At 36.1% G+C, this 16,624-nt stretch overlaps 1 protein-coding gene across 16 annotated transcripts in view; it reads left to right on the plus strand.

The window, feature by feature from the left end:
* Positions 1–16,624, plus strand: part of PCED1B (PC-esterase domain containing 1B) — a 157,040-nt gene that overhangs the window by 38,270 nt on the left and 102,146 nt on the right. The window lies entirely within an intron of this gene.

The raw sequence follows: 16,624 nt of genomic DNA on the forward strand, positions 1-16,624 counted from the left end.
TAACTGGTGTGAGATGGTATCTCATTGTGGTTTTGATTTGCATTTCTCTGATGGCTTGTGATGATGAGCATTTTTTTCATGTGTCTGTTGGCTGCATAAATGTCTTCTTTTGAGAAGTGTCTGTTCATATCCTTTGCCCACTTTTTGATGGGGTTGTTTGATTTTTTGTTGTAAATTTGTTTAAGTTCTTTGTACATTCTGGATATTAGCCATTTGTAGATTGCAAAAATTTTCTCCCATTCTGTAAATTGCCTGTTCACTCTGATGGTAATTTCTTTTGCTGTGCAGAAGCTCTTTAGTTTAATTAGATCCCATTTGTCAATTTTGGCTTTTGTTGCCATTGCTTTTGGTGTTATAGACATGAAGTCCTTGCCCATGCCTATGTCCTGAATGGTATTGCCTAGGTTTTCTTGTAGGGTTTTTATGGTTATAAGTCTAACATGTAAGTCTTTAATCCATCTTGAACTAATTTTTGTATAAGATGTAAGGAAGGGATCTAGTTTCAGCTTTCTACATATGGCTAGCCAGTTTTCCCAGCACCATTTATTAAATAAGGAATCCTTTCCCCATTGCTTGTTTTTGTCAGGTTTGTCAAAGATCAGATGGTTGTAGATGTGTGGTATTATTTCTGAGGGCTCTGTTCTGTTCCATTGGTCTATATCTCTGTTTTGGCACCAGTACCATGTTGTTTTGGTTACTGTAACCTTGTAGTATAGTTTGAAGTCAGGTAGCATGATGCCCCCAGCTTTGTTCTTTTGGCTTAGGATTGTCTTGGGAATGTGGGCTCTTTTTTGGTTCCATATGAACTTTAAATTAGTTTTTTCCAATTCTGTGAAGAAAGTCATTGGTAGCTTGATGGGGATGGCATTGAATCTATAAATTACCTTGGGCAGTATGGCCATTTTCACGATATTGATTCTTCCTATCCGTGAGCATGGAATGTTCTTCCATTTGTTTGTGTCCTCTTTTATTTCCTTGAGCAGTGGTTTGTAGTTGTCCTTGAAGAGGTCCTTCACATCCCTTGTAAGTTAGATTCCTAGGTATTTTATTCTCTTTGAAGCAATTGTGAATAGGAGTTCACAATCATGAGTGTTTTTAAAACCTTATTTTTACAAAACAACTGTATTGGTACTGGCATAAGGATAGTCATATAGATCAGTGGAATAGAATTGAGAGTCTAGAAATAAATCCACATGCCTATAGCCAGCTGATTTTCAACAGTGATGCAAAAACGTTCAATGAGGGAAGAATAGTCTTTTCAACAAATAGTGCTGGGACAACTGCATAACCACATGCAAAAGAATAAAATAAATAAATATATTTACCTCACACCAAATATAAAAATTAATCCTAAATAGATCAAAGGCCTAAACTTAAGAGCTAAAACTACAAAATTCCTAGAAGAAAACAGAGTCGTAAATACTTGTGACCTTAGATTTGGTAATAATTTGTTAGGTATGACAACAAGCAACAAAAGAAAAAATAGATAAATTGGACTTCATCAAAACTAAAAGCTTTTTGACTGGGCATGGTGGCTCACACCTATAATCCCAAAGTATTGGGATTATAGGGAGATGAGAGGATTGCTTGAGCTCAGAAGTTCAAGACCAGCCTGGACAACATAGTGAAACTGCATCTCTTAAAAAAAAGAAAGAAAGAAAACTATTAAAAACTTTTGTGCTTCAAAAAACACTATCAGGGAAGTGAAAAGACAACTCATAAAATGGGAGACAGTGTTTGCAATCTGGCAAGAGACTTATGTCCAGAATATATATGAACTCCTACACCTCAATAATAAAAAGATTAGGCCGGGCGTGGTGGCTCACACCTATAATCCCAGCACTTTGGGAGGTTGAGGCGTGTGGATCATCTGAGGTCAGCCTGGTCAATATGGGAAAACCCCATCTCCACTAAAAATACAAAAATTAGCCAGGCATGGTGGCAGGTGCCTGTAATCCCAGCTACTTGGGGGAGGCTGAGGCATGAGAATTGTTTGAACCCAGGGGGCGGAGGTTACATGAACCAAGATCACACCACTGCACTCCAGCCTGGGGGACAGAGTGAGACTCTGTCTCCATAATAATAATAATAATAATAATAAAATGATTAATTGCCCAATTAAAAAATAGAAAAATGATATTCATAGATATTTCTCCAAGGAAGATACACAAATGGTCAATAAGTACATGAAAAGATGCTCAACGTTATTAGTCATCAGAGAAATGCAAATGAAAGCTACAATGAGATACCACTTCACACCCACTAAGATAGCTAAAAACAAAAATTCAGATAACAAATGTTGACAAGGGTGTGGAGAAATTGGAATCCTCCTGTGCTGCTAGTGGAAATGTAAAATGATGCAGCCACTTTGGAAAATAGTCTGTTTTTCAAGCAGTTAAACAAGGAGTAACCATATGGTCCAGCAATTCTACTTCTAGGTATATACTCAAGAGAAGTGAAAGCATTTGCCCACACAAAATTTTGTATGCAAATGATTATAGCAGTATTATTTATAATAGAAAAAAAGGTGGAAACAACTCAAATGTCCATCAACTGATGAATGGATTAAGAAAATGAGGCATATCTACATAGTGGAATATGTTATGGCCATAAAAAAGAATGCAGTACAGGCCAGACGCAGTGGCTCATGCCTGTAATCCCAGCACTTTGGGAGGCTGAGGTGGGAGGATCACCTGGGGTCAGGAGTTCAAGACCAGCCAGGCCAACATGATGAAATCCCGTTTCTACTAAAAATACAAAAATTAGCTAGGCATGGTGGTCAGTACCTGTAATTCCAGCTACTCGAGAGGCTGAGGCAGGAGAATCACTTGAACCCGGGAGGCAGAGGTTGCAGTGAGCTGAGATCATGTCACTGCCTTTCAGTCTGGGTGACAGAGTGAAATTCCATCTCAAAAAATAATAATAATAATAATGAAGTACAATACATGCTACAACGTGGATGAAGCTTGAAAACATTATGCTAAGTGGAAGAAGCCAGTCATAAAAGATCACACATTATATGATTCAATTTATGTGAAATGTTCTTAACAGGAAAATCTATAAAGACAGAAGGTAGATTCGTGGCTGCCTAGGGGTGGAAAAAATGGCGGTATAGAAAAGGGACATAGCTAAAGGGTATGTGGCTGCTTTCAGAGGTGATGAAAAATGTTCTAAAATTGTGGTGATGGTTCCACATGTCTATGAAAATACTAAAAACCATTGAATTGTACATTTTAAATGGATAAAGTGTATGTTATGTGAATTATTTCTCCATAAAGCATTAAAAATGAGTGAAAAAATCTTATTCTTTAAACACAAGGAAAGAAACAATCCCGGTGATACATTGTAGGCGACGGTTTATAAATGAGACTTTGGCAGAAGGCAGGGGCTTCTCACTTGTTTTTGCATGGTTCCTTTCATGGCTACAAAGTTATGAATCGTTAGTGGGTACTCATTGCCCTGAAGGAGAGAATCTGCTCTGAAAACACTGACTCATTCAAAACCAAACCACTTCAGATCTTAAAAAAATGAAAACTAAAATGAAGCCCAAAGCAAACTGAGTATTTTAATTAATTTAAAATGTTGGAGGCTTTCTTTTTTTAAAGAAATCTCCTTTGCCATTTTTCTCCAATACGTAGAAATAAGAATGCATGTTTTACATGTTCTAATACATTTTTTAGTAGAACAATAATTTAATCTAATTAAATGTCCAAAGAGAATTTTCTAGATGTTGACTTAAGTTGGCTGCTCTGCCTTAGGAAGTTCCTGCTGATGGGAGTAGTAGAGAAGTAATTAAGAGCACCATGGACTTAAGCTTCTTTCCTGTCTCTGTCAAAATAAGTGATAAAAGATGCTCTGAGCCGGGTGTGGTGGAGCTCACGCCTGTAATCCCAACACTTTGGAAGGCAAGGTGGGCAGATCACTTGAGGTCAGCAGTTCGAGACCAGCCTGGCTAACATGGTGAAACCCCGTCTCTACTAAAAATACAAAAATTAGCCGGGTATGGTGGTGGGCGCCTGTAATCCCAGCTACTCGGGAGGCTGAGGCAGGAGAATCGCTTAAACCTAGGGAGGTTGCAGTGAGCTGAAATCATGCCACTGCACTCCAGTCTGGGTGACAGAGCGAGACTCCATCTCAAAAAAAAAAAAAAAAAGATGCTCTGAACTTCCCTTTTTTTTTCTCTAAAATGGGTATAATTATAGTTTGGTCCTCATGAAGTTATAAAAAACATTAATTGAAATAATAAAATGGACATTTAATACACAGTAATCACTCTAAATGTTTGCCATTGTTATTTTAAATTAGGCGTTCATCTCTTGGCCTAATTACACATATTGTTGGAGAATGTGTATACAATCTAGTGATTCACTCTGGCCTTTTTTAAGCACCACAGCAGATTTACCACTGACATACAGGTTTACACCACAGAAAATTTGCTTCATTTGTAATTGCAGCCAATGTGTCTCCCTGATGGGCAGAAAGCCAACTGGATCCATATACTCCCTTGATCCAGAACTTTACATTTCACATTGTCTGGATGTGACTTACATCATAATTGCTCAAACTATATTTTGTTATGTGTGAAAAATAAATGTCTTCCTTATGTCCTCAGTAATAGAAAATCATTAAACATCTTGCAGCTGCTTAATCTTTTAGTCAAGATATTTAGTATGGAAAACTAGAGTAATGGAGGCTTTCTCCTTTCAACTCTTTACTCTTAGCCAGTATCATTCTTTTTTAAAAAATAAACATTTTCCTAAGGCATTGAGCATCTTTTCTGTAGGCTATAGTTGAGTCTTTCAAATCTGGAAAATAAGAATTTGAAGATGGATACAAACCTTGGCACTGATGATAGGTGATTTACAAGTCTGTCTTGCTCTCATGTGCAGAGCTTGGCTGTACAATGCAAATCTTGTCAAAAATCTGTTCAATGATTAGATTTATTAAGCACTCTGCAATGTCCTATCTGTTTTAGAGAACTCACTAAAGAATGTCACTGACCTCCTGGAGATTATAATCCTCTAAATCAAAAACAAAAACCATCAGCTCATTTTCTTTTGCTACTTTCTCATTGTAGTGGAGATATCTGAGTTTCATGGGAAGCGTACCATAGGGTAAGAAGCAGAATGCAGAAAATAAGCCTTTTAGGTTAGAACGAAGAATTATTTGTCATCTGCCTTATGTAGAAATCCTACTTTCTAGCATAATTACATGGTTATGTCACAGTTGAGACAAAATAAGGAGATTGTTAGTTTTCCACAAAACAAGGTAATGTCTTTGATAGCAGTCACATTGAAGAGATCCGCATTCAGTTACAGCTAGTGGTCAAAAAACCTTTCTTAACAACTTTTGTTAGGTAAAAAAGTGCTTTCATGTTACCGAACACTAAAAATTGTTTTGTAAGATATAACAGACATTACTTGAGCTCTAATTGCTCCTTCTAGCCAGTGTGTGAACATAGCCTCATATAACTCCAACTCTACCCAAGCATAGTTGTATTTTATCCATGCAGAGTTCAAACAAAGGTGCTTAATTTTTTTATGACATCAATTATCTATAGAGAATAGAGATTGCACAAACATTTCCCTTTAAAAATTTGATATATGGTTAAGATATACACAGTTTCATAGAATCAACAAAACAATGTACCAAAATTCTATAGTAAGGCCACCAGTATATCAAAAAAAATTAATAACAGTTTCTTTTCCCTTAATGTATTTTATATTCAAGTAAAAACTCAGTGGATATAAGAAGGCAAGAACAAAAGTTGAATATGCATATTTGTTACAATGAGTGTTCTAAACACAGATGATAGAGCCAGGGCATCACAAGCCTTAAGTAACTTCTTTCTTCTCTTTTTGTATCTATTATACTTTCATTTTACAAAATCAGTATCATGCTTATCTACAATTTTGAATTCTCTCTTTCATTCAAATTTTCGTTGTAACTTGGCCTTTCTCTCATGTTATTAAGTATCCTCTGAAAACACTTTAGTGGCTACTTGATATTTTATGAATGCATCATTGTTTATTTATCCACTCCCTATTTTTAGAAATTTTGTTGTTCCTATTTTGGGCTACTATAAAAACAGTGCAATGAACATCTTTGTACTTACATTTTTAACAACTTCATTGATGTATAATTGACATACAATCAACTGCACATAAAATATCTAACTTGACAAGTTTTCACACATGTATACTGCCCACAAGGCTAACACTACAATCACAATAATGAACATATCTAACATCCCAAAAAGTTCTCTCATGTCCCTAACAGTCCCTCCTTGCTTTTCACCCTCATCTCTAGGAAATCATTAACTGCTTTTTACCACTATAGATTAGTTTTAATTTTTTATAATTTTACATAATGGAATCATATAATATGTACTCTTTTGTCTAGTTTTTTCACTCAGCATAATTACTTTAAGATTCATGCATGTTGTTTTATGTATCAATAGTTACTCCTTTTTATTGCTGAACACTATTCCATTGCATGGATATACCAAAATGTGTTTATTCATTCACCTGTTGACAAGCATTTGTGTTTTTCTGTTTTTTTGCTATTACAAATAAAGTTCCTATAAACATTCATCTGTAAGTCTTTGTATATACATGAGGTTTTTTTTTTTTTGTATACAATTGAGTTTACACTTTGTTCTTGTATCCTGCTTTTATTTCTCTGGGGAAGATAAGTACGAGTGGAATGGCTGGGTCATGTGAGAGTTGTATGACTTTTTAAGAAATGAATCAGCAGTATATGAGCATTCCAGTTGCTCAACATGCTAACCAGCACTTGTTATGATCAGTCTTTAAATTTAGGCATTCTAAATAGAGTGTGGTAATATCATATTGTGTTTTTAATTTGCATTTTACTAATGATTATAAGCAAACTGTCATGTCCTTATTTGCCATCTGTATTTATCTTTGGTGATGTGGCTGTCCAAATCTGTTTCCCTTTTTTAAAAAATTGAATGGGTTTGTATGATAGAGTTGTGGGAGTTCTTTATATATTCTCAATACAGGTTCTTAACAGGTAAGTGATGAGCAAATATTCTCTCCCAATCTGTGCTTGAATTTTCAGTCTCTGAACAGTGCTTTCTAAATAGCAGATATTCTTAATTTTGGTGAAGTCCAACATACCAAGTTTTGTTGTGTGGAGGGTATTTTTGGTGTCAAACCTGAGAAATCTTTGCCTAACTCAAGTTCATAAAGGATTTCTCCCATGTTTTCTTTTAGAAATTTTTTAGCCCTTTGTTTTACATTTTGGTCAATGATTCATTTTGTGTTAATTTTCTTACACTGCCCAAGGTATGGAGAGTCATTTTTTGTTTGTGTATTGATTGCAAATTGTTCCATTACCATTTGTTGAAAAAACTGCCCTTTCTCTAGTAAATTCCCTTTGTACCCCTGCAAAAATCAATTGACCATATATGTGTGGAGATCCAGACTTTCTGGTCTTGCTATTCTGTTCTATTGATTTATTTGCCTATCTGATGGCAATACCGTACTATTTTGACTACTGTTGCTTTTTAATACGTCTTAATATCAGGTGGTATTAGCCCTCCACTTTTGTTCTTTTGCATTTCTTGACTACTTTAGGTCTTTTGAATTTTCGTATGAAGTTTATGATTAGCTTGTCGATTTTGACAAGAGGTCTGCTGGGTACATGATTGAGATTGTGTTCAATCTATACATCAATTTGAGGATAATAGACATCTTAATAGTACTGAATCTTCTGAACCATAAACGTGGTATATCTTTACACTTATTTAGATCTTTAACTTTTCTAAGCAGTGTTTTGTAGTTTTCAGTGTACAAGCCTTGGACAGCTTTTGTCAGATTCGTTCCTAAGTATTTTGTATTTTGATGCTATTATAAAGGGAATTATGTTTTTAATTTTAATTTCTGATTGTTCACTGCCAGTGCATAGAAATACAATTGAGTTTACATTTTGTTCTTGTATCCCACAATTTTGCTTAACTCATTTACTAGTTCAAATCGTTTTTTAAAATGTTTCATAGGATTTTCTACATATAAAGATATCTAGAAATAAACTCAATTTTATTTCTTCCTTTCCAATCATTTCAAAAATTTCTTTCAAAAATCACATTTTTTTCTTATTGCATTGCTTGATACTCTAGTATAATGTTCAATAGAAGTGGTAAGAGTGAACTGTCTTGCCTTGTCAATCTTACAAAGAAAACATTCAGTCTGCCTTTCGTCATTAGGTATGATGATAACTGTAAGGCTTTTCTGTAAAGAAAAAAAATTTTTTTTCAGGTTGAGGACTTTCCCGTCTATTCCTAGCTTAATGTGAGTTTTTATAAGGAATGCATGTAGGATTTTGCCAAATGCTTTCTTTGTATCTATTGAGATGATCACATGTTTTTCATTTTAGTCTGTTAATATGAATTATATTGATGGTTTTCTATTGTTAAAACTACCTTGTATTCCTGGAGTAAACCCACTTGTTATGAACTATTATCCTATTTATGTAATGTCACATGCAATTTGCTAAACTTTTGTTAAGCACTTCTGCATTAAGTTTCATGAGGGATATTGGTGTGTACATTTCTTTTCTTACAACATCTTTGGTTTTGGTATCAACATAACGCTGGCCTGCTATGAGTTGGGAAGTATTTATTCCCCAGTAATTCCTCTGCAAACTTTTGTAAAATTAGTATTATTTCTTCCTTAAATATTTGGTCAGATTTACCAAAGAAGCCATCTGAGCCTGGAATTTTCTTTGTGGAAAAGTTTTAATTTCAATTTCAAATTATTTAATTGATATAGAATTATTTAGGTTGTTTATTTCTTCTTAAATTAGCTTTCATAGTCTGTGTCTTTCAAGGAATTCATCTATGTCATCTAAGTTGTCAAATTTATTTGCATAAAATTCTTCATAATATTCCCTAATTATTCTTTTTACACTCTGTTGAGTCCATAGTGCTGTTAGCTTTTCCATTCCTGATGTTGGTCACTTGTTTCTTCTCTCACTCTTCTTTTTCGTTGTTTTGGCTAGAGGTTTATTCAATGTAGTTGATTTTTCTCAAAGAATCTGTTTTTTGTTTCATTTATTTTCTCTGTTGTTTTTCAGTTTTCTGTTTCACGCATACTCACTCTGATCTTTATTATTTCATTTCTTCTGCTGATTTGGGGTTATATTTGCTCTTTATTTTCTAATACTTGAGGTGGAAGCTAAAGTCATTGACTTCAGATCCTTCTTCTTTTTGAATGTAGTCATTTTAGCACTATAAACTGTCCTTTATGAACTGCATCAGCTGCATCCCATAAATTTTGATACACATTTACATTCAGACTGAAATATTTTATAATATTTTGTTTACATTTACATACAGATTGAAATCTTTTATAATTTCCGTTTGATTTCTTCTATTACCCAGGGGATGTTTAGAGTGTGTTATTTAGTTTCCAAATACTTGAGAACTTTCTAGCTATCTTTCTGTTTTTTATTTCTTTTTTTTTTTTTTTTTGAGAAGAAGTCTCGCTTTGTAGCCCAGGCTGGAGTGCAGCAGTACGATCTTGGCTCAGTGCAACCTCTGCCTCCCAGGTTCAAGCGATTCTCCTGCCTCACCCTCCCGAGTAGCTGGGACTACAGGCATGTGCCACCCGGTTAATTTTTTGTATTTTTTAGTAGAAACAGGGTCTCACCGTGTTAGCCAGGATGGTCTCGATCTCCTGACCTCGTGATCTGCCCACCTAGACCTCCCAAAGTGCTAGGATTACAGGTGTGAGCCACCACACCCGGCCTCTGCTTTTTATTTCTAATTTAATTCGATTTTGGTAAAATAGTATACTTTATAAAACTTAAATTCTTTAACATTTATTTAGATATGTTTTATGGCTTAGAATGTTGCCTATCATGGTAAATGTTCCATGTGTATCTGAAAGGAATGGGAATTCTGCTGTTGTTGGATGGAGTGTTCCATAAGTTCCAGTCAGGTCAAATTGATTGATAGTGTTGTTCAAGTCTTCGATATACTCACTGATTTCCTGTCTATATGTTTCAACTGTTGAGAGTGCACATTCATTTTTGCATTATGATACCGCTTTATGCTTCATTACAGTTTTGTAGGAGAACAGTGCTGTCATGTCTTCTGATAGATCTTGGAATCATTGATGCATGGTTGCATCCTTCATTAATAAAGCAACACAAAAACAATACTTAGAAAAGTTATTCTGTAAATTTAGATCTGTAAATAAAAAAACGAAATTGTTGGCTGATTATGCCAATTTGAGTCAGGTCAAATTTATGAAATAATATAGTGGTATGAGCACTGTGGTTCAAGGGCTGATTATGGCAATTTGGTGATTTCAACTTAACTTTTTTTTTCAGTTGTAGAAATGATTCCTCAAATAAAATTTTACTAGGAACTTAAATACATACAACAGATAAAAGTGTCTTATCTATTTAAAAGTGTTTGAGGAACAAAAAATGGAGAAGGCACCTTCTTTATCTAGACTCCAACTCTTCAGCCTCACTCTGGGCCGCCTTACTCTTCCCTTAGAGGTAACCCATGAGGTACCTCAGCTGAAGTGTTAAGGTGTCATGGAGAGCGCTGAAAACCAGAGATCTACCCAAATATTCTGCTAAGCAAGAAAAGAAAGATCCCATTGCAAATATTTACTGAAGTAAAATGGTAAACAGATTTCAACTCTTGTATCAATAATATAGATTGGCAAGCTGTCTAGAGAACAGTTTGAAAAAAATGTCTGAAGTTGATTTCTGTCTCAGCAGTAAAATAAAAGAACATGTTTAATTATTGATGTCTGCAAAGGATGCAGGTGTGGTAACTGGAAGAGGAACTGTCATGCATTTGAGATTCCTAGTCTTGAGATACAGACAAATCTGATGTTCAAAGCTGGCTTTACATGATATCTTCTGAGTTGAATTATATGTTTGGAAAATTAGACAAACCATGCAATGGGGTTAGTGAGGCTTTTCTGCACAGAAAACAACAGGGAATGCTTAGCAAGGTAGAGGTTTTTATAAGGACACTTGGGAAAGTGCGGAAGTGCAGAAAGCCATCTCTGAATTTCCTTCAAATAGTCCTGGGTGGTCTGGCAAAGAAACTGGGAAGCTGGCATCCACAGCTCCTTTCTCCATCTCTGCTATCATTAAAACTCAGCTGCTCTCTTCTTTCCTTTCATTGTTCCTGCCTTAACAAACTAATTCAAATTCTCTTTGCCTACCAGCCTTCTGCTTTCTGCCTTCCTTTGGTACTCTATTTCCCTGCCATATTCCTATCTGTACATCTCAAGTTAAAATTCCCTTAAGGGAGGGCACAGTGGCTAACACCTGTAATCCCAACACTTTGGGAGGCTGAGGCAGGTGGATCTCTTGAGCTCAGGAGTTTGAGATCAACCTGGGCAACATGGTGAAACCCTGTCTCCATGAAAAATATAAAAATTAGCCAGGTGTGGTGGCTTGAGCCTGTGGTCTTAGCTACCTGTGGTTCCAGCTACTTAAGAGGCTGAGGTAGGAGGATCGCTTGAGCTCAGGAGGCAGAGGTTGCAGTGAGCCATAATCACACCACTGTACTCCAGCCTGGGTGGCAGAGCGAGACCCTGTCTCAAAATAAAATAAAATAATAAAATTTTAAAAATATTCCCCACAGAGAGTAATAGGTCAACCCTTCAGAATGGCATGCCCCTCTTATCCTAGTCCTAGCCAATTAAAAAAAAAATTTTTTTAAAGAAAAAAAAGAGTGGCATGCCCCCTTGGGTGGGATTCTCATGCCAGGTTATATAAATACCACTGGGCAGTCTAAAGAGAGCTCCTGAAATCAGATGCCCATTCCTAGTCCAATCACCTGTGACTATAGTGGCGGAATCACAAGGTACAAAGGATGGAGAGGAGACCATGCGTCTGGCAGGAACTCCGAGGGACCCCAGTGGGGAGTGGTGTGCCTAGTAGGCATCTGTCCATTACAACCATCAATAGTGTAGTGTACACACTGATTGGACTTGCATGGCTTCAAATGAAGAAAAATTTTCTTATAATGAGCAAAAGCAGTGGTTTTCAAACTGTGCTTGGCAAAATGTCTTGAGTTCTGCCCAAAGAAGAGACTTAGTAGGTAAGACTCTGACTTCCTTGTTCCCTTTTCATCTAGAGCACTTTCATATTATTCAGTTTCATATATGGGTTTTTTAAAAATAAAATTTCACTTGAAGTTAACATGCTACTGTTCAAAAGTAGTTTGAGAGCCATTGAGTTGTAGGAACACAAAAAACTTTTGTTTGGCTAATTTTTTTAAGTGGTAAGGCTTTATTTTAAAAGGTTAGTAGTTAATACACACAATAAAATAAAAAGTCACTTAATATATTTTACACAATTTTTTGTAAAACAAAAAAAGGGTAGGGTAGATAGGAAAATTGAAATTGGTTATTTCACAACATTATATTCTTAATCACAATTGTTTTTGTGTCTTGGATGTTATTAATGAAAATTGTTTAATTGTGATTTTCACTATATGTTTGAGGCTAAATGTGGTGGCTCACACCTGTAATCCCACCACTTTGAGAGGCCAAAGTAAGAGGATCACTTAAGGTTAGGAGTTTGAGACCAGCCTGGGCAACATAGTGAAATCCCATCCCTACAAAAATAAAATAAAATAATTTTACAATTAGCCAGATGTGTTGGTGCACATCTGTAGTCCCAGCTACTTAGGAGGCTAAGGCAGGAGGATTGCTTGAGCTCAGGAATTCAAGGCTGCAGTGAGCTGTGATTATGCTACCCTACTCCAACCTGGATAACAAAGTAAGATCCTGCCTCTAGAAAATAAAACAGAAAAATTTCATGTCTTTATCAGAACAATTAACTTTAGCATTAAAGAAAAAAAAGAAAAGAAGTGTGTGGTCAGTAGGATGAACATTTTTATAGCAATGATCAGATTATACATTCTTAAGGGTTAAGATACATGTTATTAGTGCTGTTATGTTTTGTTTTGTTTACAGATACAGATTATTATTCTCACATCAGAGTAAAAGTTATATTAATCAGCTATTTACAATTAACGAAGATGATTGAGATGTGTCAAGCAATTACATACATTACTTAAATGTTAAGTCAGTGCATACTTGTATTTTAATATAATAATCATATTCAGTATGTTCAGTCATCCGCCAAAAACAGTTTTTAAAAACTGAAGATATCTCGATCATATTTATGAATTTGAGTTACTTTTATAATTGAGAAAACATATCCTTATTCTATCACTTGAGGCATTCCAATATCTATCACTTACTTAAAAGGTGATTCATCCAATAAAAATGTCAAGCCATTGTCACTTGCTGGCATAGAAAATAAAACTATCTGAAACTCCTAGGCATTCCACTCCTTAGGCTAAGGAAAGATACTTCACCCGCCCACTCCAATCCTTGACCTCAGAATGCCCCCAAAACGCCCTCCTTAATCAATACAAGAACCTTTGCCTCCTCTCAGAAACTCAGTGTATCTATGGCTTAAGCAGAAAATTATTCAATTCGTTCTATTTTCATAGAAAACTTGTTAGGATAAATGTGTAAAAAGTTGCAGCTCCTCATCTGGCAGAGCATCCAGGTGTGTACACCATTGTCCTTCATCAGTAGTGGCTGGAATTGTTCCAGATAATTCTCACTGTTGACACCACAGAGCACAAAATGGAAAGGGGAGAAAGGTTGGAAGGAGCAACATGGGTAGGAAAGGGTTTTCTCCATGGATCATTTCCAGTTTTATCCTGCATCTTGATTGTGCTGACACTATTGTCATGTTTTACTTCTTTTTTTTTTTTTTGAGAAGGAGTCTCACTCTGCTGCCAGGCTGTAGTGCAGTGGCGCAATCTCGTCTCACTGCAACCTTCGACTCCCTGGTTCAAGCAATTCCCCTGCCTCAGCCTCCCGAGTAGCTGGGATTACAGGCATGCGCCACCACATCCGGCTAATTTTTGTATTTTTAGTAGAGATGGGGTTTCACCATGTTGGCCAGGGTGGTCTTGATCTCCTGACCTCGTGATCCGCCCACCTCCACCTCCCAAAGTGCTGGGATTACAGGCGTGAGCCACCGTGCCCAGCCTGTCATGTTTTACTTCTATTTAGTTATACTTACATAAAAAATAGGGAAGTTGAAGTGAAAGGCAGATGACCTGGCCAGTAATGAACTTTGCGTGGAAAGTCATTAGCATCGAGTGGAAACATTGTGATTTTCCCAGTGCTTTTTGTTTTTTAAAAAAACACTAACTGGCTGCCAGTAGTCATGTTAATACATAGTAAATTACCTGTCCCTTTTTGTGAACTCTCTCATTTGCATGTGAGCTTCTTCTAAACAAGTCAGTTGAGATAGAGCTTTGATTTACTGAAGTGGGTGTACATAAACACAGTTATGGGGAAAAGTAATAGCACCACAAAACCATTATATTGATTAATTTTTATTTCCATGTGTACTTAAGCTTGGCAATCTGGAGCTTTGATCTAGTATATCCAAATTAAAAGTAAGGTTCTAATAAAATTTTTTCCTCTGCAACAAATACCCCTGTGTAAATGGCCCAATACTATGGGGGAATTAAACGGCTTGCACTTGGGTTTATAATTGAAAGTTTGAATGCAGTCTTTACATTATCAGGAAAGCAATCCATCTCACCCAGGATGGTTTATTTGAAGTCATCAGGCTGAGGAATGGGCTCCATCTGACAGTGAAGTCAGTTTAGCCATTGTACTATGTGTAAGTCAATTTCCAGACAACCCTAACTAAACACAACCCTACCCAAATGCCCCAGAACCTGTGTTGTCAGTTAGAAGGAAAACTGGAGGGATACTATATATGTGACTCAGCCCAAGTGCAGCACTGGTACTGCAGTAAAACCTAAGCCATGAGCTTCTGAGGCAGGAGAGTAATGTCCCCTAAATATCAGCATTGCTGTGAAAGGAGAACCAAAATCTAACTGGTACAAATATCTAGCCAATGTCTGTGGAATTTTTGAAAGTTAAGAGTCTTTTTGTTAAAGATTATCATTCAAAATACAGTACATTCAAGGGGGGAAATGGTGATAATGGTGATCTCATAACACTGATACATAGTTCAATATACTATTCTACTTTAATATGCTTAACATTTTTCATATGTAAAGCTTCAAAATACAATATATAAGATAATTTTCCCCTGTTTCTTACAAAGGGGACTGTATTTTCTTTACATGTAGTTCCATAAAATGATGCAAAGTTAATTTAAATCATGAAAACAAACATTATTTCCTGACCCTTTATTTTCATATATTTGTAAATTTGTGCAAAACAATTTGGAATTCAACCCTTGATAAGCTAAATTAAAAGAGACAACATGATGTCTGCAAACACATTTTCCAAGTATTTCAAGGTCCATGATTTCTGTGGTAGGGATTGTACTCAGAGACTAAAGATAATTCTGTCCCTATCCTAGAAGGATTTGATGTGATGGATCCTCTGATGTGGCATCCCTTGTCCAGGGCCCTGAAAAAACAGAAATAAAATCGATACATGTTTGGACCAAAAGTAGGCATGTAATGTTCAGGTCAGCAATAATGATTTCGGTTTAATTATAGGAGTGGAGCAAGGTAGGGATGGGGGGTACATCATGCCCGTGAGACTTGAAAGAATGACTGTGTGAGATGTGGGTTCAAGCCTGATAATCTCATACTCACTGAAACCTGCTCAGAGTTTGCACTAATAAAATCCTGGTGTGCATTAAATAAGCCACAGCTCAAACTGTGTTTAATATCACAGTATGAGCAAAAATTATACCCAGATATATTACTTGTCAGGGCAAGGGAAAGAAGGGAATCCTAGTGATGACTTTTAAAATACTATTTCCAGCAACCAAGGTCCTTGTTATGGACTGAATGTTTCTGTCCCCTAAAAAGTTTATATATTGAAATCCTAACCCCTGATACGATGGTATTATGAAGTGGAACCTTTAGGAGGTGATTTAGGCTCTAGCCTCATGAATGGGATTAGTGCCCTTATAAAGGAGACTCCAGGGAGCTCTCTCCCTCTCTTTCTGCCATGTGAGGATACGAGAAGATGGCAGGTTGCAACCTAGAAGAAAACCCTCACTAGAACCCAACAATGCTGGCGTCTGATTTTGGGCTTCCGGAACTGTAATAAATGAATTTCTGTTGTTTATAAGCCACCCAGTCTATGGCACTTTGTTAAAGTGGCCCAAATGAACTAAGATAGTCCCTGACTGTATTATGATGTGAATAATCAATCCAGATGTAACAGCATCTTCAGATGCCCGAGGGTACATTCCATGACATCATGGGCATTTTGTGTCACACTCAGAGAATGAAAAGGAGATTTGGAAAGTGCAAGGCCTTTACGAAATTAGTACAGGAGATTTCAAAATTTACTTTGTAGATATAGTTGTGTGTTTGTTTTCCCTTATCAACATGAAACTTTTTCCTTTCTTCTTTTCTTCCTTTTGTCCTTCCTTCCTTTCTTCCTTCAATTATTTTTCTTCAATTCAGTGAAATACAGAGAAGATATCCCTTATTAATATTTAAAACAAACAAACACAAAATACATGTATCTGGCTAGAAAATATTAACTTTAAACAGGGCAAGAACATACAAAACAGAAATTCAAGCTAC

This window comes from Homo sapiens, chromosome 12, assembly GCF_000001405.40.
Source record: "Homo sapiens chromosome 12, GRCh38.p14 Primary Assembly".
NCBI classification, from domain to species: domain Eukaryota; kingdom Metazoa; phylum Chordata; class Mammalia; order Primates; family Hominidae; genus Homo; species Homo sapiens.